The sequence below is a fragment of the Homo sapiens genome, chromosome 6 (genome assembly GCF_000001405.40).
Source record: "Homo sapiens chromosome 6, GRCh38.p14 Primary Assembly".
Taxonomy (NCBI): Eukaryota; Metazoa; Chordata; class Mammalia; order Primates; family Hominidae; genus Homo; species Homo sapiens.
Genome location: NC_000006.12, coordinates 5,451,965 through 5,475,662, shown reverse-complemented (window position 1 = coordinate 5,475,662; position 23,698 = coordinate 5,451,965). Strand labels below are relative to the sequence as shown.

At 41.1% G+C, this 23,698-nt stretch overlaps 1 protein-coding gene and 1 long non-coding RNA gene across 22 annotated transcripts in view, besides 1 other annotated feature; one reads left to right on the top strand and one right to left on the bottom strand.

Moving 5' to 3' along the window:
- FARS2 (phenylalanyl-tRNA synthetase 2, mitochondrial) overlaps positions 1 to 23,698 on the bottom strand; it is a 521,650-nt gene that overhangs the window by 295,921 nt on the left and 202,031 nt on the right. For 3 of the 19 annotated variants that reach the window (XR_007059197.1, XR_007059196.1, XR_926027.4), the window contains one exon: positions 8,594 to 9,104. The exons of the other annotated variants lie outside the window; for them this stretch is intronic. The gene's annotated coding sequence lies outside the window, so the exon portion shown is untranslated. The remainder of the gene's footprint in view (positions 1 to 8,593; positions 9,105 to 23,698) is intronic. 19 annotated transcript variants of the gene reach the window in all.
- Positions 17,588 to 23,195, top strand: FARS2-AS1 (FARS2 antisense RNA 1). Of its 3 annotated transcripts, none has more exons than NR_125847.1 (3): positions 17,588 to 17,769; positions 18,638 to 18,710; positions 22,906 to 23,195. It is a non-coding gene; the product is annotated as an FARS2 antisense RNA 1 (long non-coding RNA). The 3 variants fall into 3 exon arrangements; NR_125846.1 differs by having other exon boundaries at positions 18,635 to 18,710; NR_125848.1 differs by lacking the exon at positions 18,638 to 18,710.
- Positions 17,964 to 18,950: an enhancer, noted in NCBI's record as "H3K4me1 hESC enhancer chr6:5456946-5457932 (GRCh37/hg19 assembly coordinates)". NCBI's record gives its function as "activates a minimal SCP1, AML or CMV promoter by ChIP-STARR-seq in primed H9 embryonic stem cells {active_cell/tissue: H9 hESC(primed)}" and the evidence as "EXISTENCE:reporter gene assay evidence [ECO:0000049][PMID:30033119]".

Sequence of the window (23,698 nt, the reverse complement as noted above, 5' to 3'; positions counted from 1 at the left end):
CAGGAGTGAGGGAAGTAAAGAGGGGTCTATGATGTCCAAATAGGAGGCAGGTGCCCATGATGCAGAGCCTTGAAGGCCATGAGCTAGAGCCGAGATTCTACCTGAAGCTGCATGGGAAGTTTTTGGAGGACTGTGGTCAGGGGAGAGTCCTAGTCTGAAACGCACATGCTTCATGCAACGTCTTCTCATCTGTCCTCTTTTATTATCCCTCAACTCACTGACTATAAAAGGAAGTCTAAACTCCTTGGCTGAGCATTTAAGGTCCTCCGTAATCTGGCTCCAAAAGGCTCTTTCTACATCATACATTCAAATCAAGTTGTTTCTTTGTTATGTCCAAAGTAGTACTACGCCCACATTCTTGCACGTGCCTAAAATATACTTCTCTTCAAGCCTGCATATCCAACTCTTTTTGAGAACTGTCCAAGAAATCTAGTCTTTCAACCATTGGCTATGAGTGAATTGGGAACCTCTTCAAAGACTAAGTCAGATGCCACAAAACCTTCCCCAGTACCCACGGAGAAGTCATTTCTCCTATCTGCAAACAATCATATCCTTTCATTTAGTTTTCCTCTTGTGGTACTTGTCAATTTCCACCTTGTATATGGTTCTTCCTGTACACTGTCGTTCACCAAGTAACAATGTTTTGGTAAATGGCAGACTACTTATATATGACAGTGGTCCTGTAAGATGACAGTACTGGGCTGGGCACCGGCGTGGTGGCTCATGCCTGTAATCCCAGTACTTTGGGAGGCCGAGGTGGGTGGATCACGAGGTCAGGAGTTCAAGACCAGCCTGGCCAGCATGGTGAAATCCCATCTCTACTAAAAATACAAAAATTAGCTGGGCGTGGTGGCGGGTGCCTGTAATCCCAGCTACCCAGGAGGCTGAGGTAGAGAACTGCTTTAATCCAGGAGGAAGAGGTTGCAGTGAACAGAGATCATGCCACTGCACTCCAGCCGGGGCGACAGAGTGAGACTGTCTCAAAAAAAAAAAAAAAAACAGTACTGTATTTTTATTGTACCTTTTCTATGTTTAGATATGCTCAGATATACAAAAATGTACCGTCACATTACAATTGCCTACGGTATTCAGTAAAGTGCTGTACATGTTTGTAGCCTAGGAGCAACAGACCATACCATACAGCCTAGGTGTGTAGTAGGCTACACAATCTAGGTTTGTGTAAATACACTCTATGATGTTCACACAACGACAAAATTGCCTAACAACATGTTTCTCAGAATGCATCCCTGTTGTTAAGTGATGCATGACTGTATATCTTATCTCTACAACACACCTTCAGCATAAAATTTGGGACTGTGAGTCTCCCTGTGTCCCACCTTCATCTCCACTTCAAGTACCCGGTACACTGCCCAACATATGTCAATAATAAATAAATGAAATAATGCATTAATGAACAAACAAATGAACAAACCGTGCTGGCTGGCCCTGGTTACTGAAGCCCCAGCAGAAATTAATACATGTAGACAGCGGCATGTGCCATTGGAGATAACGGAAATGTGATGATGGCTCGAGAAGTATGCAGTCCTTTAGTTTGATGGGTATGAAGGACATTCATGAATGATGTGTTTTCCTGCCTTCACAGAACTGAAGGGCTGGTTATTGGGAGGCTACATGGAGAGCACAAATTTGGTAACAGGAGGGATCCTGAGGTTCCTAAATCATTCATGGATAGACTGGGTTTCTGGAGTGGTGTTCTAAAAACACAGTGATATCAGCAGCTAGGGATGCAAGGGTGTAAAGGTATCCAGCAGGGCGGCGTCCATTCTGTGTGGCCTGTGCACTGAGATCTTTGCTTATGCTGATTATTTTCTTTTTCTACTATATTGAAAGACACCGCTGCCTACATCACAAACAAATCTATCCTTATATGCCTGGGTAGATCAGGTAAAAATGCAAGTAACAAAGATAATCCAATTTAGCCTGCAAATAAAAAACTGAGTCTTCTACCAAATTCACCCTAAACAAGAACAATGGAATAACCCTCAGGAATGCTGTAAGAAGAAAAACAATGTATGTAAATATAATTCAATGTTTTCTAAAGCTTTAGATGCCCTCTCCTGAATCAGGAGCAGGGTATTCTTTTGTTTTTTTTTTTTGTTTTTTTTTTTGTTTTTTGAGACAGAGTCTCGCTCTGTCGCCCAGGCTGGAGTGCAGTGGCACAATCTCAGCTCACTGCAAGCTCCATCTCCCGGGTTCACACCATTCTCCTGCCTCAGCCTCCCAAGTAGCGGGGACTACAGGCACACGCCACCATTCCCGGCTAATTTTTTTGTATTTTTAGTAGAGACGGGGTTTCGCTGTGTTAGCCAGGATGGTCTCAATCTCCTGACCTCGTGATCCACCCACCTCGGCCTCCCAAAGTGCTGGGATTACAGGCATGAGCCACCGCGCCTGGCCAGGAGCAGGGTATTCTTAATGCACACAGTGTATCCAACATGCGTGAGTTACAAAGCATGAGGTTTTGCTTGTGCTGATTCGTGTCACAACCTCCTTGGCATTATTTAAATGTAGTGTTTGGTATGCAAATATAGATAACACCAAAAGTAACATCTAAACGAGAACAAAACAAGAACAATACAAACTGGTTAAAAATAATTCCACGTATGAACATATCTATGGACTGCAAACATTACCCTTTTAGGCCATGAATATATATTTGCAGATACTTCATCCAAATATTAACACACTTTTTCTTTATGCACAAAATTTTGTGTGTGACATATACTGAATGTGTGCTCTCTGTATTTAACAAAGTTGCGGGGGTGTGTATTCTTATTTCTTCCACCCAAATAAACAAGCAGACTGACATCACAAGGCTTCTTTTTACTTAGGCAGAATATTGAGCAAACAAATATTTATTCTGGGTTACTCAGCTGTGATACATAAGGGGATTCATGACATGCTATGTCTGGTGCCTGCTAAGCTCTTACGAGATAATTGCACCTTGGACCACCTAGGACATCACATTAAATGGAGAGACCTGATTTTAAAATTTAAAAAACACAGAATGGGCAGAATTTAATCAGTCATGCTTCTATAAAATTAAGGAAGATATAAATAAATGGGCAACAGAAAGGTGCAATAAAACCAGGATTAATCAAACCGTGATTAATTCAGGATCAGATTAAAACCAATAGTGCCAGCTGTATCTGATCCATTCTGCAGCATTATTCTCTCCTGCTCCTTTTTGTTTTCCCATTTTTCCTCCTTCTCATTCCCCTTTGCTCTCACCCCTAGGGCACCCTCCTTGGTGGATAAACCTGCAGGAGAGTTAATTGTCACATACATGGATTTAATCACATTGTCCATCACATTTGGGGGCCCTGCCTTCAGCGATCCATGACTAATTGTTGTGGTAATTTTTCAATCATTAACAGCAGCGCATATGCTGCAGACAAATCCCAGCGTGCCTGCTAAACCCCAGTGACATGCGGCCCACAGGCTCCAGAAGCACCACTACACCAGCCCCCAGCCCCAATCCTATTAGTCATGCGTCGTCATTAATATACATCTATTCCAGGGATATGTCAGGCAGCAATGAGGTCGGAGGGGGCTGAGCATGCTTTATAACACAGCCTTGTTTTCAATCTATTCTTTGAAAAAGGAAGAGGAAGAGGAGGAGAAAAGGAAATTAAAACTCCATGTGGGATAAGGAGCTGGGGGACTATTCTGAATTCCACTTGTTTCTCATTCATTTTCAGGCAGGCTCCTGAGCTGTGGCAAATGCCCTTTCTTTGGGTTTCAGCAGTATTAGCGATCTCCATGGCAACCACCAGTACGCATCTGCTGCACCACACTGCAGCTTCCCTGGGCTCAATTCTCAAGTCGCCCTGGTGTCAGACGGGGCGCACCATGTGCACTGGTGGGACAAGACCCTGCCTTGGGGAATCATCCAGCTGATTGAAGCCCAGCTCTAATCACCACATAATATGAGCCAACAAGATCATACAGAATATGATCTGCCTACACTAGGCAATAGGATTCCAGGACTGCTATTTATTTTTCATTTTCCTTTTCTTAAGGGCCTTTGTTGGTTAAAAGCAAAGAGCCACTAGAATAGCTATCTAACAAAAGGGATTAATTTTAAAATAGGTGGTACAGTGTTGCTGGTAACATTTACTTCAAGCAAAAATCTCATATGTCCTTCATTAAAGGAATTATTCAAGAGGAAATTAAAAGTCCTGGAGTTTCCCTTTGGTTCTTCGTAAATGAAGGGCTAGTTGGGATATTAGCCAGAGCAAGAAAAGGTAAGAGAAGGATTCCTGGGTTTTTGCTGAAATTCTGACTCTTGCTATGGAGTCTCAGGAAATTCCCTCTTATACCCAGTTTCCCCAAGATTAAAATAAGATCTACTTATTTTAGGCGCTTAGCACCGGATCACTAACAAGGCCTCGGCAAGACTTAATTAATACGTGCAATTCATTTTTAGCTCCTCAAATGAAAGACGTTTGGTGCAGGCTCCACTATTATGAAATGAGGGGCCGAGCGCCCTCTACTGCTGCTTCTGGGTCAGTCTCTCAGTGGCTGAAACCCCTCAGTGGGGTTCACTTATTGTTAACATGTAACTCTCACACTCTAGCTTAGAAAGCCTTTTCTGATCAGTAAGAGCAGGAAGAAAGGAACACAGGAAGAGGAAGAGAACCAGATAATAGACTGGCTGTTATAAATAGAATATACCTGTACCAAGACTATTCAAAGGTACTTGAGGTTAATACAGCAAAGGGAGAAAGGTCTGCGAAAATTCAGAGTGCTCAATTTTGTATCATGAACACATATTAAAAAGATAAAAAAATTGAGTCTCTTTACTTTCCACTCACCTTCTTCCAGGACAATGATACTTATAGGATCTCATTGATTTGTCTATTTTCTAGAAAAGTTAGATGAAAAAGAAAGCCTTGTTTTTCTTGGAATTTTTAATAAACACAGGACTTAGATTCCAACTTTGTTTTTCAGTTTAGTAGCAACAAACCCAGTCCCATGCGCTATACAGAACTACACAAACTATACGGAACAAATCCACTTTGAGCCTTACATATAGTTACTAGTTATTCTAATAAAAAATTACAGAGGAGAAAATAAAATGATCTGAATATTACTCTTATTCTTTTTTCCATTATGTAATGATGATACTTAACATGTATACATCTGGAAATACGAGTTTGGTGTAGAGCTGAAATTGGGTAGTGTATAGTCATCCCTCAATATCTGCAGGGGACTGGTTCCAGGACACCCTGCAAATACCAAAACCTGAAGATGCTCAAGTCCCTCATATAAAATGGCATAGTATTTGCATATAATCTATGCGCATTCTCTTGTACACTTTAAATCATCTCTACGTCTACTTATAAAACATAATACCATGTAAATGCTATGTAAATAGTTGCTATACTGTATTGTTTTTTACTTGCATTTTTTTTCCTGAATATTTTTGATCCACACTTGGTTGAGTCTGCGGATGCAGAACCTGCAGGTATGGAGGGCCAACTGTATTAAAGAAATTCTGCTTCTTTATCAAAAATTAACTCCTTTTGGAATGGTGTTGTGAACAATAATATTAATAATAAAATAGATAATAATGAAGTCTACTACTCATTGAAGTTTTATTGTGTCAGAAACTATTCTAAGTGCTCTGCATCCATCACTTTTTAATTTTTACAACTCTTCAAGGTCAGTACCAGTATTATTCCTATTTTTGAGATGAGAAGAATGAGACTCAGAGAGGTAAGTATCTTGTGTAAGGGCACACAAATGACAAATGACAAAACTAGAATTCAGATGCAGAACCTCAAAATCCTAAACCCACAAAGTAAGCCATTAAACTATATTGAAAAACACTGATTAGAAATCTAGCTCCCTTAAAGGAAAAAGAAAAGTTGTAAAAGCTCTGTTCATTCTTATATATTTCCTACTCCAAATCCAAACCTTATCTTTTTAGAAGCAATGACCGCATATTTTTCCATCGCCTTTAATTTTTTCATGAGACATTATCCATTGACACTTGAAGCGAGTCATCCTGACTGACAGAAACCCAGTTCCTTTAAGAGATGCCGAGGGCAGTGTACAGAACATTCTACACAACTAAATTCCAGAGCCTGGCAGAGGGTCTGAGACTTGCTGGGGTGGCAACTAACAGCTAAGTACTGGATCATGACATGCTGCAGTGGGAGAAGGAGTTTTCTCAGCTCTCTGCAGCTGTTTAGAGAGAAAATCAAGAAGGTATCCAGCGGAGGGATTAGCTACTGTCACCCGCTGAAGGACACACAGCAGGGATATGAAGTGTGGGGCGGGGCTCCGCACAATGGGAGACAGGCCGGTTCTGCTGTGAGGTAGTGAGAACCGAGTGGGGTCAAGGCAGTGCAGCAACGCACAGGACAGGAACCTCGGTGGACCAAGCAAGTGGTGAGTGATGATAGCTGCATGAGGGAAAACAGCAGGAAGTGCGAGCTGGGAGGCTGACTGTGGGCCTGCCACCAAGTGGTCCCAAGAAACAGTCGCTGGAAGTGGCAATGGCTAAACACTGGTTTCTGTGAAGACATCTGTGTAAGGGATTCATGTCAGTCTCGAGCCCTTTTCAAGAACCCAAATCTCATCAGGCTTGAAATGACCAGAATCCGGTAAACTGAGATTGGCAGGAAGATACATTTTCAAAATTTACCCGTCACATAACAGCTGGAAAAGGGAGTTATGGTATGCCAAGTCATATACACATCTGTGTTATATGGATACAAATTCCAGATACGGAAATCCTTAAACTTCATCATTCCAAAAGGATATGACTATCCAGGAACATCTCCCATACATTACCCTGTAAAGACAAATGAAATCATCTTTCTACTCTTATCTCACTGTCATTTTCCTGTGTAAGATCAGAAACAGACCACAGCATGCTAGCATCGCATTCTTGTGAAAGTATGAATAACCGGCTAATTGTTAGAAAACAAAATGGATTGCTGATTATGCAAGGAATCTGTAATCCATTCTGCAGACACAGGAAAAAAATGAACAATCAAACACTGGCATTAGAATAGTGTCATTACCTTTTATGAATGAAATGGCCCTCTTTGAAACAGATTCAAAGATTTCTGGTCGAATTATATTTTAAAACATAAGTATTCTTTCTATAATATTATGGATTATCCTTAAATAATTCTTTCCCTAAATATGAAGCACTTGATGAAAATATTAAAGGGAATTCAATTATTGTAATAAGATACAACATCACCGTCACACAAATTCTCCTTTTCTTTCATTATATGGCTAACTTTTTTTCTTTCTTTTTTTTTTTTTTACTTTTACCAGCCAAGGGAAAAAATATCTAATTGGCATGCTCTGAAATCTTGAGCTAACCCTGGTACTACAGATGTGTAATCTTTCACGGTTTGGCAATATTATTTTGCAGTGCATCGTAGAATGAGAAATGCCACTTAGAAAATCATGGGCTTTGATGTTGCTGACACAAAGAGTTTCCATGACACTGAAGCTCTTAAAAGAGTTTATCTTGATGTATATAACATGTCACCATAACTCTTGGGTTGAGAATATCACCACTTTCTGAAAGCAGGGACAGACAAGATGCTCTCTCAGGTCCCTTCCAACTCTGATATTTGGTGGCTATAAGTTTTTACTACTGGCCTCAGCCTCTCAGTCAGGAAAATGAATAATAAACGTTGCACCAATATATATTCTATTTAATGACATTCTGAAGTTAGCCATGTTATTAAGAAAATAAATGTTTTGAAACATAGTTCATCATTCCCTTCTGATAACTTTCTTAAGGTAATGAGCATCTATAATCATCAAAATGTATATCTAGAATCATAGAACCATAAAATGGTAAGGCATAAGTCATCTTAGAAATCATCTTTTGGTCTGACCACATTTATTTTACTGATAGGAAACACAGAGGTCCAGAGAAGAAGAATAAGAACAGTAATGATGATAATAAAACTTATGACTATCATTATCATCATCAAACTAACATTTATCCACAGAAGAGAGTGGAAGCTACTGGAAAAAATTAGATTGTTCACCTATAACATGTAGCATGGTGGGGGTACTGTCAGTATGGAAAGCCCACATTCTGAGGAGTTGACACAGGAAGAGGATATAGCAACGTTGACTAAGAAAGGAGATCACTGAAGAATATTTTATTAACATTTCAGACCTATTGTATCTTATTTCAGCATCTAAAACCTCATGGGCAAATGTTGTTAGCTCATAAGCTTGTAGGACTCTAGATATTACAATGAGAAATTACTTGGGCAATGATCATGAACCTCCTTAGAAATGAAATGGCCCCTAGATTAGGGCTTCTGAAGCTTTGAAAGTCATTCTCCAACTGCAGTAAAATGTTGTTACTGAAACCTTAAAATGCCCATTTAAGGATTGGTTAAGAATGGGTAACCACCTGTGGCAATAAATAAATAAATAAAAATAAAAAATAAATTATTAAATTCATACAGTCAAAAAATGTAAACCACAGATAGAAACATTTAATCTAATTTAAACAAACTAATTCTTAAAAATGGAGGGCTCAACAACCAATAAATCGGGAAGTGACTATTCAACTTACAGAATAATTCACTGCTGGTATCCCATGGTCCATCTATAAAACTTTAATTTGTATTCAATGTCTCAGGAGGACATCTGTTGCACGAACTGAAGAATATGTGCCTCTTATCATTCCTGCACAGGCTGTGCTAGTAAAGAGAGAAGTCACTGCAGCATAAGGCCGAGGTGCCCATGTGCTCATGGGTTCAAGGAATCCATAGAAGAGCCAGCATGGGCTGCTGACTCCAAATGGGCTCCATTCCCAACTCAGTGCTTCTCAGAGGTGGGTAACAACTTCCTGCACCAGAATCACCAGGGGTGCTGCTTCAGTCTACAGATCCCAGGCACCACACACAGCCTTGCATTCGACTCTCTGGAAGGAAACAGGCATTTTTATCCAGCTCCCCAGGTTTGAAAATCACTGAGTCACTTTGCCAGCATGCCTGAGAATGAGCTCTCAGTGGATGGCTGGGTGCCATCAGGACCATTATGAAGTCTCATATCCTCTGGGTTGATGTGAAACTGAAACAAGCCTAGGGAATAACAAACAAACAAAACTTCCAATGAGGTATACAACATATTTCCTTATCTTCTTCCACTAAACATTTATTATGTTTTCAGAGCTAAGCCTGGGAATATAGAGCTGACTAAGACATGGCTCTTGCCTTTAAGGAGCTCAGCATCTAGTGGGGGCAACAGGAAGGAGACCAAGAAATGACACAGGCATGACAATGGCACCGGAGAGAGGTACACAGAGCATTTCAGAAATACAAATAAAGGTTTCATGTTGGCCTGGAGTTGGGGATAGGAATGGAAAAGGAGGGGCAGAGGCAGGATCTGTGAAGACTTTGCAGATGAGAAGCAAATTAAATCTTCAAGGATGAGTAGAAATTAAGGGAATGGGGAAGGCACTACAGCCAGGAGTGGCATGTGTAAAGTTACCAAGGCAAAGAGAGAAGGAGCATTCAGAGAGCTACGCATTACCCATCGCCGTTGAAAAGAAAGAACTACACAGGTGTTGTGTGTAAGAAATGAGCTTCAGAAGTCTGCAAAGATCAGAAAAAAGAGGCAGGTCTGTCCTGCTAAGGGCCACACACCACAGAGTTATTGAGGTATGTTAAAAATAAGGATAAAATTGATTCTCCTACAGTGGAAGCATTATAGACATGGGAAGAATCCAGACAGAGGTTGATAAACTATTTTTGAAAAAAAATTCTTTTTTTCAAAAAAAGTATGGCTATGAAGAGGTCTTTATGTTATATAAGTTCAAATTAAATAAATAAAAAAAGCTAATGATGCTTACATTAAAAAAAAAACTTCCAATGAATGGACTTTTAATGCCTCCATTTATTGAAAGAAAAAAAGATATCTCCTAGTGCTTATCAAATAATTTCTGACAAATACCAAAGGTTATAGGACTGGTTTTCACAGGAGTACTTAGAGAGACATGGCTATAGAAGGTAACACTGGGTTGAGAATTAGAGGTGTGTCCATCAGTGTTAATGGGGATGAAACAGATAAATGGAAAGACCAGGGGGTCTTTAAAAAGTCAGAACAGAAAATCGATTGGAGATATAGTCTGAAGCAAGGTGCTGAGCTGGTCTAGTTTTAGTTAGAAGCCAATGAGCAAAATAGCAAGTAAATTATAATACGCAAGTAAGACTAGTATAGTGCCCGGACTAAGTTAACTTTAAACTAGTATTAACATAAAATGAAGAAACAAATAAAAAGTATGCACATCACCAACCAACCACCTTGCTAACCGTGCTCTCAGAATTCTGTTTTTACTTTTTCAAATGATGTAGGCTTAACAGACAGTTGCTGAAGATGAAGAGCACAAGTTCAGTTTGCATCCTAATACAACTACACAAAAATTAACTATTAAAAGCAGATTTTTTTCTCCTCTTTTTGCTTTTAAATAGATTTGACTAGTACTTGAGATTAAAATGGACTTTTCCAAGGATGTTCCACATATCTATTCCTTTCAAGAGGACTGTATTTAAAATGCCTCCAAGAAATGAAAATCTACTCAGTAAATTTCAAAACTCTAACATACTCTTCATAACTCAGTTCAAGCTTCCGCACTCTCCACCAGCTAGAGGGTCTTCCTTATATCTTATCTAAGGCCCCCATGCTGCAGCCCGCACGACTCCTCTAGTTGTTCTCTTCAAGGACACTGAAAAAGATAATTCATCCTCTTTGTAGAAAGATGTTCATTTTGTTATTTTCATGTTAAGATGTGATTTCATTAATAAATTGTTGACCTCTCCAAGGAGGCCAATTTCTTTCTTTCTTTCTTTCTTTAACCCTGTAAGAGATACTTTTCTCTGGTTTGTGGTTTGAAAAATTTTCATGTATTATAAAAATGTACGGAATGCTGGTCTGCTGCTGATTTCACAGTTATAGGAAAATACTGTATGTGGTCCCAGTACTATACGAGCTTATAAATGAAAGAGGAAAATAGGTATCTAATAGGTTGAGGAAAACCTAAACACTACTAAGGAATGTTCTCATTCCTGGCAATTGAGTAAAGGTAAGGAGAGCATTCGAAACAGAGAAGGGAAAAAGTGACAAAGCAATCTTATAGGTTCAGCAAGGCCTGACTCGGGCAGCAGCTCTTTCTCCCCTAACATATCCCCAATAGTGAGGAAGACCTGGAATAAGCTAGAAGACAGCCCAAGATTCCCAATGACTCCACCCAGAATGCTCTGATGGACTTGGAGGACACTGGCCTGAGGGCCAGTCCAGGTCAGGACTGTCCATTGTGGGAGTGTGAAGCCTGCACATATGGTGGAACCAGCTGCTGATCAAACCAGCTGCTCTGCCGAGTCGCAGCCTGTTCCTCAAGCTCAGCTGGGTGGCAACATAAGAAACTATTTCTGTCTATCCAAAATGTAATGCTGGCCCCTTAACAGGGACTAACTTTCCTTTGCATTTCTAGGAAACAGCACACAGCAGGTGTTCAATAAATGCTGCTTAGAAATGAATAAACTGGTTAATAAAAAAATAAGATGGAGAAGTGCAACCAAATGTACATACTTAAGTCCAGAGGTTGAATCGTGGTTTACTCCACAGCACCTGCCATGAATCCCGACACTAGAACAACCCCTTATGAAACCTGCTGTGCCTGAAGTTATTAGCACGACTACATTACCTTACTAAAGACTCTTCCATTCCTTCACTTTAACAAGGCCTTTCCCAGCTGGCTATTACTGGGAGAAGGGGAGAGAGGAAATCAGTAATGTAAACCAGAAGGAAAATGAAAGAAATGCAGGGTTGAAACATGCTGTTAAGGGACTCACTATGCAGAATCCACCAAGCAATTTTCATGCACAGGGCAACAGAAAAATGACATGTGCTATGTGCTTTAATCCCACTTTTTTTTTTTTAAGAAAACAAATCTGCTCATAATGCTGTTGATATATTTATGCCACAGGCATAAGAAATGAAATCCACAGATAATTTGTATTATTAAAGTTTTAACACACCTATTATTGTTGAAAATTTTTCCTATGATAGTTTCAATACAGGTATAATAACATAACAATGCTCTTTCTCCTTCCTTACAAAGACGAGGCCACAAAACAAATGCCCTAAACTCAAGAAAGGAATTTTACTGTTAGTTTTTTTACAGATGACAAGAAAGTCAGCCCATGCAATGGATGAAAGTAGATCCACACCAAGGTACACAATGTGAGGTTTCAGAACGCACAAGGACAAAGGAAAGGTTCCTGAAAGCCTTCTAGAACTAATAAACAACTTTAGCAAGGCCACAAGATACAAGATCGTCATATGAAAATCAATCATATTTATATGTACTAGGAATAAACAATCTGAAAATGAAATTTAAAAAGCAATCCCATTCACAATATCGTTAAGAAGAATAAAATACTTAGAAATAAATTTCATTAAAGAAGTGCAAGACTTGTACTCTAAAAACTATAAAACACTGCTGAAAGGAATTAAAGATGATCAAGTCAGAGGCCCAGGGTCCGGCCTCCAGCTTTCGTAAATAGTTACTGGAACACAGCCCATTGTCCACACTACTTTCTCACCACAATAGCCGAGTTGAATAGCTGTGGCAGAGACTGCAGGGCTTACAAAAATAATTCTTCACTACCTAGCCCTTTCAGAAAAAAGTTTGCCAAGCTCTGATATAAATATAAATTCCATCCTAACTCAATACTATTGAGATGGCGATTTTCTCTAAATGATCTAAAGATTCGATGAAATTCCTATCAAAATTCCAACAGACATTTTTGTGAGATTGACAAAATTGGTATTCTAATACAAAGGCAGTAGAATAGCCAAAAGAATTTTGAAAGAAGAACAGTTTGAGAACTTAACACTAACCAATTTTAAATAGATTCTAAAGCTTCAATAGTCAAGACTGCACAGTTCTATATACAGATTTTCAACAAAGATACCAAGGCAATTCAATGGGGAAGGACTAATTTTCTCAACAAATGGTTCTAAACAAATGGATATACACATTCAAAAAGATGAATTTAGAACATTTCCTTATGTCACACACAAAATTTAAATCAAAATGGAAAATATAGCACAATGCAGGAGATAAAATAATAAACTTCTAGAAGAAAATATATGGGAGAATCTATGTGACTTGGGTTAGTCAAATAGTTCTTAGGTACAACACAAAAATCATAATCCATTAAAAAAATGGATGAATTAGATTTCATTAAAATTTAAAATTTCAAAAGATACCACTAAGAAAATAAAAAGACAAGCCACAGACTAGAAGAAAATATAAGCAATCATACATATAATAAAGATCTTATATCTAGAATATATAAAGAACTCTTACAACTGAATAATAAGACAAATAATCCAATTAAAAATGGGCGCAATATTTGAATAGGTATTTAATCAGAAAATATATACAAATGGCTACTAAGCATATGAAAAGATGCTTAACATGATTATTCAAGAGGAAAATGTAAAGTAAAACTAACGAGATACAAACTCACTGGGATGCCTATTTTCAAAAAGTCAGATAATACAAAGTGTTGGTGAAGATGTAGAGAAACTAGAACCCTCATGTATTGCTCATGTACGGTCACTTTAGAAAAAGTTCAGCAGTTTCTTTAAAAGTCAATCATAAGCTTACCATACAACCCAGCAATTCTACTCCTGGGTGCCTACCCCAAAGAAATGAAATCATATGGCCACATAAAGACCTGTATGTGACTGTTTATAGCATCTTTATTCATTACAGACAAAAACTGTAAAGGATCTAAACGCCCACTGACTGGTAAATAGATAAATAAAATGTGTACAATACTATTCAACAATAGTAAAGAACAAACTACTGAGACATGCTAATAGGATGAACCGCAAAACACTGTGCTAAGTGAAAAAAGCCACATGCCAAAGACTACATATTGTATGATTCCATTTACCAAAAATGTCAAGAAAAGACAAATCTATAGAAAGTAGAATAGTGGATCGCACCACTGCACTCCTGTCTGGGCAACAGCAGTGAGACCCCCCTCTCAAAAAAAGGAAGTAGAACAGGTGGCTGCCTGGGGCTGGCAGAGAGTCAGGACTGGCTGCACATGGGCATGAGGAAACTTTTTGGGGTTGATTGTGATGGTGGCTGGAAAACTCTATAAATTTACTAAATAATCCTTGAATAATTACCTAAAGTTTTCCTCAATAAGCTATTAAAAAAATGTTAAGTCCCAGGGAGAAAAACTGGCTACAAATAAATGATCAGAAATTAAAATATCTGGGCCAGGCGTGGTGGCTCATGCCTGTAATCTCCGCACTTTGGGAGGCCAAGGTGGGTGGATCACCTGAGCTCCGGTGTTCAAGACCAGCCTAGGCAATGTAGTGAAACTTTGTCTCTATTAAAAATACAAAAAATTAGCCAGGCGTGATGGTGCATGCCGGTAGTACCAGCTACTCGGGAGGCTGAGGTGGGAGGACTGCTTGAGCCTGGGAGGCAAAGGTTCCAGTGAGCTGAGATCATGCCACTGCACTCCAACTTAAATGACAGAGTGATACCGTGACTCAAAAAAAAAAAAAGACTTTAAAATGTCTGCAGTCCATCAAAACAAGCCCATAAACACACACACATACACAAACACACACACACACACACAGCCCTGGTGTGGTGTGTATGGTGGAATGGCACTCAGCATTCATTTCCACTCCCATCTGCCTTTCTGTACTACAGAATCCACAAAGCTAAACACCACATTTCCTGGCCTTCCTGACAACTGAGTTCCTTGAGTAAATTAGGTTTCTCCAATTAGATGTACTCAAGTAAGACTTGAGAAGTGAAGGTGGAGGCCATCATTCTGCAGCTTGGCTCGTTCTCCTGGTCGGCATGTAGAGGGCTACTGGATTGTTCTATAAGTACTCCAGCAGTCAGTCACCAGCTTCATGGGTATCAAGAGGCAGTAGCTGCAATGTAAGGTTCTGATCCTTGGACTGCAGCTACAGCAGAATGTTCTTGAAGTGAATAGTCACAGAGGCGGCCTCCTGACTCCCTCCCATCCCAAAGTGGCAGATAAAGCAACACCCCTGGCAGGCCAGGGCAGCTGTGTGGTTCTGGAGCATTGCTGGAAACCTAGTCTCAAGCCCACTCCTCCAGCCCTTCCAATAATTTAGAAAGCACCTAATATCTGTTTTAAGTCTCTTTCTGTTTAAAATAGCTAGTGTGGTTTCTGGCCCTCCAACTGAACGCCTGAAAAACATAATACACAGGAAGACACAGGAAGCAGTATACCTATACGATAAAAGAACAGCCTGCCTAGGCAGGGGCAGGTCAGAGGCTCTGGGACAGACATCTCCAAAAGATCAAACAAAAAGAGCGATGTATGTGAATGTATTGAGAGTCAGTTCAGGCAATTTGCAGAGAGTATGTGTTTGCATTATTGAAAAGCATACAGAAAACTAAGCAGACAAAAAAAGACTGAAGAAAAAGTTATGTGAAAGAGAAAAGGTAATTACAGTTTACTAAATATTTTACCTGTGGATAGCATCAGTCAAAATAACCTAATGCAGAGCACCGATCTATCCCAAAACACGCTCTAACTGCAGAGAAGTTAGATGAATGAAAAGGCTGCCTTTTGGTTGGTTTGGTGTTAGGGTAGGGAAGACATGGCTAAGTCCTCATATTTCACGTTGCATGGTCAAAGGAGAATATTTAAAGCGGAAAGAAATCAAGGAGCAGCAATACGAACATGTTACTTAGAGATACAGAGAATGATTCCAAAGACTCAGATGTCAAACAGTTGAAACTGGCAGCCTCTAAGGAGGAAGAAATAGGAAGGTGGAGGGAGGTGGGGAAAAGGGAAAGGCATACAGGAGACTGCTGGGGCTTGGCACTAAACTTTGCAGAATGATTTGACTCCTTAAGCTAGAAAGGGAGTAAACTTTAATGGAAAGAATAGAAGTCTTTTTTTAAAAAGAGTAAAGCAAGAGGAACAGGCAGTGACATGGAGTCTCTGCATCATTCTAAGGCCAAAGTGCTGTGGTCAAAATGATGTCCCTCCCGCTCTGGGCACACCGACATGGGCAGCAGGCAACCGGAGCACATTCCACCACCGCCCACAAAGGTGGCTGGGTCACTGAGCCAACAGCACAAAAGAGGAAAGGAAAGAAGTTCCCACAAAAGTGGAGCCAGAATAATATAAGAAAATCAAATCGAAAAGACATCCCAGTATACTAGGGTCAAAAAAAAAATCATAAATTGCTTTTTAGAGATAAAAGATCTGGAAAAAAAGTTTGAAGCAACCACTAACAACGAACTCTGTCCAAAAGAGTTGTGAAAATACCAACATTTTTAGCTAAAGGTTAATTAGATTGCCTAAATTCAAATTTGTTTCTGATGTATCCAAGAGTTTCCATTTCTAGAAATATGTTAAACTAATTTGTTTTTCTTAGAAGTAATGCAGGTCCAAGACACGGATTATTAGACTGCTCTCAGAGGAATCATGTTTCCCTCCATGCTGGCCACATGGACCAGTGTCATCAGTTCTGTTGAACATTAAGAGACAATGTTAACGTTTCACAAAGCAACACATCAAGTGGAAACAAATCCATTTCATCAAATTAATATATTTCATGCTTTAATTTTAATGGAATGCATCTGAGAGAACAAAAGAATAAAAACTACTACCACCATCCTTGTTAAAATGTATCTTCAGGGTAGAATGGCACCATTTGTACAGTCATGGATGGCCCTTCTCACCACAACAGACAAATCTGCACTTGCCTGGCAAAATTTCATTCTTCCTGCAATCAAATTGCTACCAGCATGTTTGTGAACACTGTAAACCTGCCCATGTTGATTCTTGAAATGAAAAATATCAAGGGAAATAAATAATCCTTTACTCCCTGCCATTCTTAGGAATAAGAAACAGACATTTTGATGAGGTAGAAGAAACAACAAACATGTCCTTATTTAGCAGGCTTCTGCTTGGAAGTGCCAGTCTCAATATTATCCACGTGTATGAGGTGGATTATATAACTGCTCAGGGCTGATGGGCCTGATCTCTATGTGGGAAACAAGATCCTGATTTTATGCTCTTAATAATTCACTATGATTAGCAGTTATGGGGGAGGTGGATCTGAGTCACCTCCTGCTCTTCCCATTTGTGAATTCATGTTTGACTACAGTGGCCCTTGCTCTGGCTGGCCAAGGGGCTGGACAGCAGTCCCCTTCTAGGGCTCCAGTGCTCCTCAGCCCTGGCAGGAAGGCCAGCTTTGCCAGCCTAGGCTTCTTGCATCCCTAGCCCTGGAAGGGCCTCAGGTGTTTCAGACACAGGTACAGCCAGCTCTTGCACAAACCCCTTTCCTGCCAAGCCAGGACTGCATTTCCAGTCATGGGCAGGCTTTGCTGCAAATGATTACACAGGACTAAACCTAGACAGACCTGAGGAGCAGAAGGCAGAGTCAAGCCAAACCAGAGCCAAGGGGAAGGGAGCCAAGGGGACTTGGCCATGGGAGCAGACACACAAGCTGCGCCCTGGAGCTGATCGAGTCCCTCGCAGGAGAGGGCTGGGCAGAGGAACCACGACGGCCATGCGGAAGCCACACAAGAGCGATCCAATGTCTCATCTCCGCCCTCAATCATGGCCTCCGCTGATGCCAAAGTAAACCCATTCAGCTTCAGGAGGCTTTTCAGCAAACAAAGCATAATTTGTACGACGGATCTGTGTGTTACAGGTAGGAAATACTCCTGAGTGGGGAGATCTGGAAGCTTTCTAATATTACAATGCTCTTCTATTGCTGAATTTCTCCCTGGATTTATAGCCTTGGTTGACACATCAGCTTGTGAGTTACTTATTTTTCTTTGACTCAGTTTCCCCTGAGAGAAACAGAAATAAAAACCCTATGTTTATTTCCACCTCTCAAATTCAACTATCCAGGAATTAAATTCTGTTTATTTCAGGCTATTAAATATTCATGGAGTCCAAGAACCAGGTGCTTTAGGAGATTAAAAAATAAATAAAACACAGGCCCTGCTATCAAAGAGCTCAGACCTAGAAAGTTTAAAAATATTCTCAAATAACCATGTCAAAAGGTAAAATGTGGTAAATATCACAGGAGATTATGATAACAGTCTGCTCAACAAACAATTTCAGGGGATCTGGTATGTGACAGGCATTGTGATAGGCACGGAAAACAAGATCAAAAACGTCGGCCAGCCCTTCCCCCGCAGCTGTGGATGGTGCAGCAGGGACTGAGAGATTCAGGGAGGAAGAAATAATCTCTGATCCCAGTGGCCGAGAATTGGGTGACAGGGTGCTGGCAAGCTCTGATGGCACTGCCATTCAATACCCATGCCCCCTGACCATAGGGGTGGGAGGTGGGTGTGGTGGAGGATGTTGGCAGGCAGAGATAGTGAGTCAGCTTCTGAACTGTGAACACACACACAATGGCCTGCAGATGAGACAGGGTGCACCCCATGTGCTGGAGACACCGGGCTGCCAGCTTGCCCACTGACGTGGACATATGTAGGGGAAAGGGAGGAGGGTGGCTCGGGGCCTGGCTGGACAAGCAAGTATTCGTACTTTTGTCTTGCACACAGTAGAGGATCACGGGCATTTGAAATGACACAACTGGAAGCTAAATCCAACAGCAGGGGAGACCCTTACCAAGGCGAGGTAAGTGGGCTACCCTCGGCCTCCCTTTCCCTGCTGTTGTTTTGGTAGCTGGACAGGGCTAGGGACAGGAATATCCTTTCCTTCTGTGGACGGTTTGGGGGTCATGAGCAATGCCCTGAGGGAGCCATTTTCACCAGCCAAGGTAAGATGGAGCCTCACTTTCCAATCTTTTCAATCCTGCCTGCTAATGACCCTGCCCATCTCTTTTTTTTTTTTTTTTTTGAGATGGAGTCTCGCTGTGTTGCCCAGGCTGGAGTGCAATAATGCCATCTCGGCTCACTGCAACCTCCGCCTCCCAGGTTCAAGCAATTCTCCTGCCTCAGCCTCATGAGGCTGAGCTTACAGGCACGCACCACCAAGCCTGGTTAATTTTTTGTGCTTTTAGTAGAGGTGGGGTTTCACCATGTTGGCCAGGCTGGCCTCGAACTCCTGACCTCGTGATCCGCCTGCCTCGGCCTCCCAAAGTGTTGGGATTACAGGCGTGAGCCACCGTGCCTGGCCAACCCTGCCCATCTCTTTATTCAACATATTCTCCAGCCACAGCCTTTAATCACACAGAACCTTTCATAAATTGGGACTAAATAGTAAGCCCTTCAAATGCTGCGTGAATGCAAGCTGTAGGAGGACAAGAACACGGCTTTGTTTGTACTCTGCTGTATCTCAAGCACCTGGGAGAGTACCTGGCACATAGTAGGCATACAATAAATATTTGTTTATTTTTTGCTTTTTGTTTTTTTTTGAGACAGGGTCTTGCTCTGTCACCCAGGCTGGAATGCAGTGGCACAATCACAGCTCACTGCAGCCTCGACCTCCAGGCTCAAGCAATCCTCCTGCCTCAGCCCTCCAAGTAGCTGGACTACAGATGCACGCTAATGTGCCTGGCTAATTTTTGTAATTTTGGAGAGACAGGGTTTCACCACGTTTCCCTGGCTGGTCTTGTACTCCTGGGCTCAAGCAATTTGCTTGACTTGGCCTCTCAAAGTGCTGGGATTACAGGCATAAGCTACCGCGCCCAGCCTTGTTTGTTAAGTGAACAAATGAAGCTTGATGCATGGAGGGAGTATAAACTGAGATAATAAATAATCTTAAATACCATTTCTAATAGCTTCCTTTTATAGATGAGAAACTGAGGCTCAGAGATGTCAAAGGATTCCTCTAGGGCAAACAGTCAGCCAGACAGTAATCAGTTAGTTAAAAAACTATTGTCCAGGCCTCCGATGCTGAGTATAAAGCTCTTTCTACTATCCTACATTACTTCTGTTTTTTGCATTTTCAATGACCTATAATTAAGAGCAATGAAATTAGAAAGCAGCAGTTTATAGATCTCCAAAGAATTTTATTCTAAAGATGTTTAGAACCTCCATGACACAGGATATTAAGGTAATAAAAACAAATTAGAAGTAGGATGGGGGAAACAAGCTGATTTCAGGTCAATGAAATGAAAGCAACACTCTCTCTCTGTGCATTTACAACGCTGCTGCTTAGAATTTCTGAGATTACCTCCATTACTCTGCTTTGAAATTGCTCAGTAAACTACATCAGACATTACTCCACTAACACTCTCACAATCTGGCCGTCCCTGCTGCTTCCCTGGAGACTAACACATACCCAAGCTTCAAAAATTTTCCCTTGGCAATAAAAGTGTATATATTTTGAAAGGCAATAAAATAGAGGCTTGTGTCATCTTTGGAGGGGCTTTTTGGAATCTTCTGCAAAGATTTAAAAATCAAAAAGCTGCTTGGTAACCATCTGCAGGGTAAGAAACAAATAAGCAATAACCAAGACGGTTTTGAATGAAAACCGGAAAAGGAAATCTCCTCACAATGACATCAAAAACAAGTACACGTGACCACCCGCTCTGTGCCAGGTATCGTGCTAGATGCTGGTGGGTCAGCAGTCTATGACCAACAAGGTCCTTGTCCTCAGGGCACTTGCAGTCTTGGGAAGGGGAAGCTAGAATCAATGACATTAAATAAAGACATAATCACAATTGGTTTACTACAGTGGTGATGCCTGCTGTGAACAAGACATGCAGGTGCTACTGGAGTGGGTCACAGGGTCATCAGATGTGCCCAGGCAGTCCCAGCAAAGGAAGGGAGAACCGAAAGGCTTGCTCAGCTGGAATGACGGTGAAGGCGGGTCCGCATGGCCAGAGAGCTGGTCAGAGCAAAGCAGAGTAGGCATTGCCTTGGAGGACACATTCACTACAGATTTGGACCTTTACCCTCAGAGCAATGAGAATCCAAAGATTATACGGAGATTATCGGGACCGAGAGTTAACTGTTAAAAGATTATTCCTTAAAAAACAAGGCCAGGCTCAGTGGCTCACGCCTGCAATCCCAGCACTTTGAGAGGCTGAGGTGGGTGGGTCACAAGGTCAGGAGATTGAGACCATCCTGGCTAACACGGTGAAACCCCATATCTACTAAAAATACAAAAAATTAGCCGGGCATGGTAGCATGCACCTGTAATCCCAGCTACTCGGGGGGAGGCTGAGGCAGGAGAATCGCTTGAACCTGGGAGGTGGAGGTTGCAGTGAGCCGAGATCACGCCACTGCACTCCAGCCTGGGCGACAGAGTGAGACTCCATCTCTAAATAAATAAATAAATAAATTTTAAAAAAACAAGTGTTGATATTTTCAGAACAGTACAAACAGTTTGAAATAAGCAAATGTAAATTAGGATGTAAGGATTATTTGACAGCATTCACAAGTGACAGCAGAAAGGCATGTCCATGGGTCTAAAAAAAAAAAAATGGAGGGAGAACTTAGTAACCCCAAATGGCACTGATAAAAGTACTAGGCATACTGCTTTGAAAAAAACAAACAAACCAGGGACATGATGTTTCTAAAGATTGTACTAAAATTCAAGATTTGTCAAAATAATCAATTTTTTAATTTAGTGTATAAGCTAAACAATAATAATAATAATATTGATGCTATTATTAAAAGTAAAAGCATCCCTCCTTGTTAAACCTCCCTCGGCTCCTCCAGCCCACACTGGTCTTGTCATCTTTTGAATTCACAGACCCCACCTGATGTCTAAGCAGGTGCACAGCAGTAAATCAGGCACGGCTTCGTGGGCTCTCCCGTACGGTTCCTCATTATTCAACTCCTGCATTTAACATACTTTCCATGTGTTTATGCCTAGACTACCCACTGGCACTGTGAGCTCCTTCAAAAATTCCTACATACCTTGGTACCATCTGGGGCACCTGGCAACCTGCCACACACACAGGAGCTGCAAGTATTGACTCACCAGTAGAACGACTGGTGTAAAAGATAAAAAACAGGGTTTTGGAAATAATTTGCAGATTTGGATTCTAGAGATCTTTCACAATTAACTTCATCATATGTTAAACAGAGCAAATCAAATCCTATTATACTAGTAAGAAGAGACTAAGGAATGTCAGAAAGCTCATTTTGAAATTCAACTGTTTGGAACACATTCCGCCTCATAGATGAGGGGAAATTTTTTCTCAGTTTTCTCGGTCAAGAATATTGTGCTTTCTCTGAAAAAGGATGAGCACGTTTTTATCTTGCAGACACTGTAGATAGTATTAATTAATTATGTTTCCCTCCTTCCTTTTACCACTAGGCAGCTGAAATCCAAATCTATGCTTTTTTGTGGCAACTGAGAGAAATGTATATTTCTTCGTGCAAACTTACCCTAGCTTTGTTATTTTCATATTCTTATTTTCCCTTTACCTTTTGCCCCTTGGTTTTTGTTTTCTCCAGATATATCTGTATCTACAGATGTCACTATCTCATATCCTTTACAGAACGATGTTGCAGTTAAATTTGTAAATAAATTGAATAGTTAAGCGAAGGATGCTTTAGTCCTCCACAATTTACTATGTTGTGCAAACTTCAGTAGTGGAGTTTTCCAAACCAAGGCAATTAATCCTCAGTTAAGCTGATTCTCAAACGGACCTACACAGAACGGTTTCCACTCCCATCCCGTACCCCTACTTTTGCCCACCGCACACCCTGCAAAACATCTAGTGATATGATTAGGTGGGCTTCAGGTGCCTGTCTTCAACCTTTCCACTTCCCTTAGCCCTTCACAGCATCCATTTTATCCGCTGATCTCTGGGTCCCGTCAGTTCTACTTGCCCAGGTCTCCAGAATCTATTTCCCCCCTTGAATTTCTACTGCTATAGCTGTAATTCACAGGCTCAATGTTTCTCTTCCAGGTATGATGCTCCACTTGGTCTCACTGCCTCCCGTCTCTGCTCCATCCAATCTATCTTCCAGTCCAGAAGTGAAGGTTTTGTGCCAAAATGCATTCACCCATCCAAACATTCAATAAATATCTACTAAGTACCCACTAAAGGTTAGGTGTGCGTGAAGCCCTGGTGGCAAAGAAATAAACAGACCCGACCTCTTCCCTCAAACAGCTAGTGAACAGTGCAAACCATGGCATGGTTTGAAAAATGAGCATGAGGACTGCCCAGGGTCCCTTTGGGAAATGCTGAACAGAGTGTGCATGGCACATTCAACAGTTCCTTGGAGCATGGAGTACCCACGGGCAAGAGTGGGAGAGAAAGCGAGGAGGCAGGCAAAGGCCAGGGCAGGAAGGCCCCAAAAGGCCATGTGGACCTCACCACGTGATTTCTGTTTAGAAACTTTCAATGGTGCCCCATTCCAAACCCTTAAGTATGGCCTCTGTGCGTCCTGGTGTAGCCCCCAAGCTACATTTCTGATCCATTCTCAACTCCTAGTACTGTGCTACACCCATCTACACCTCACTCCTCAAAGACTCGAAGTAAACTCATGCTCTTGGCCTGATTCAAATAATTCCCTTAGGCCACTCTGGACCCCAAACCGTCTCCTCCACATCTCGGCCTGCTGAAACCGGACTTACCGTTTCTTCAGTATAATACTGCAGCCACTAACCAGTAGGAATTAAGCATGGTCCTACCTTCAAGGAGGTTAGACTCTTGTGGAAGAAAAGGATAAGTTTAGTTAACTATCGTGTAACTATAA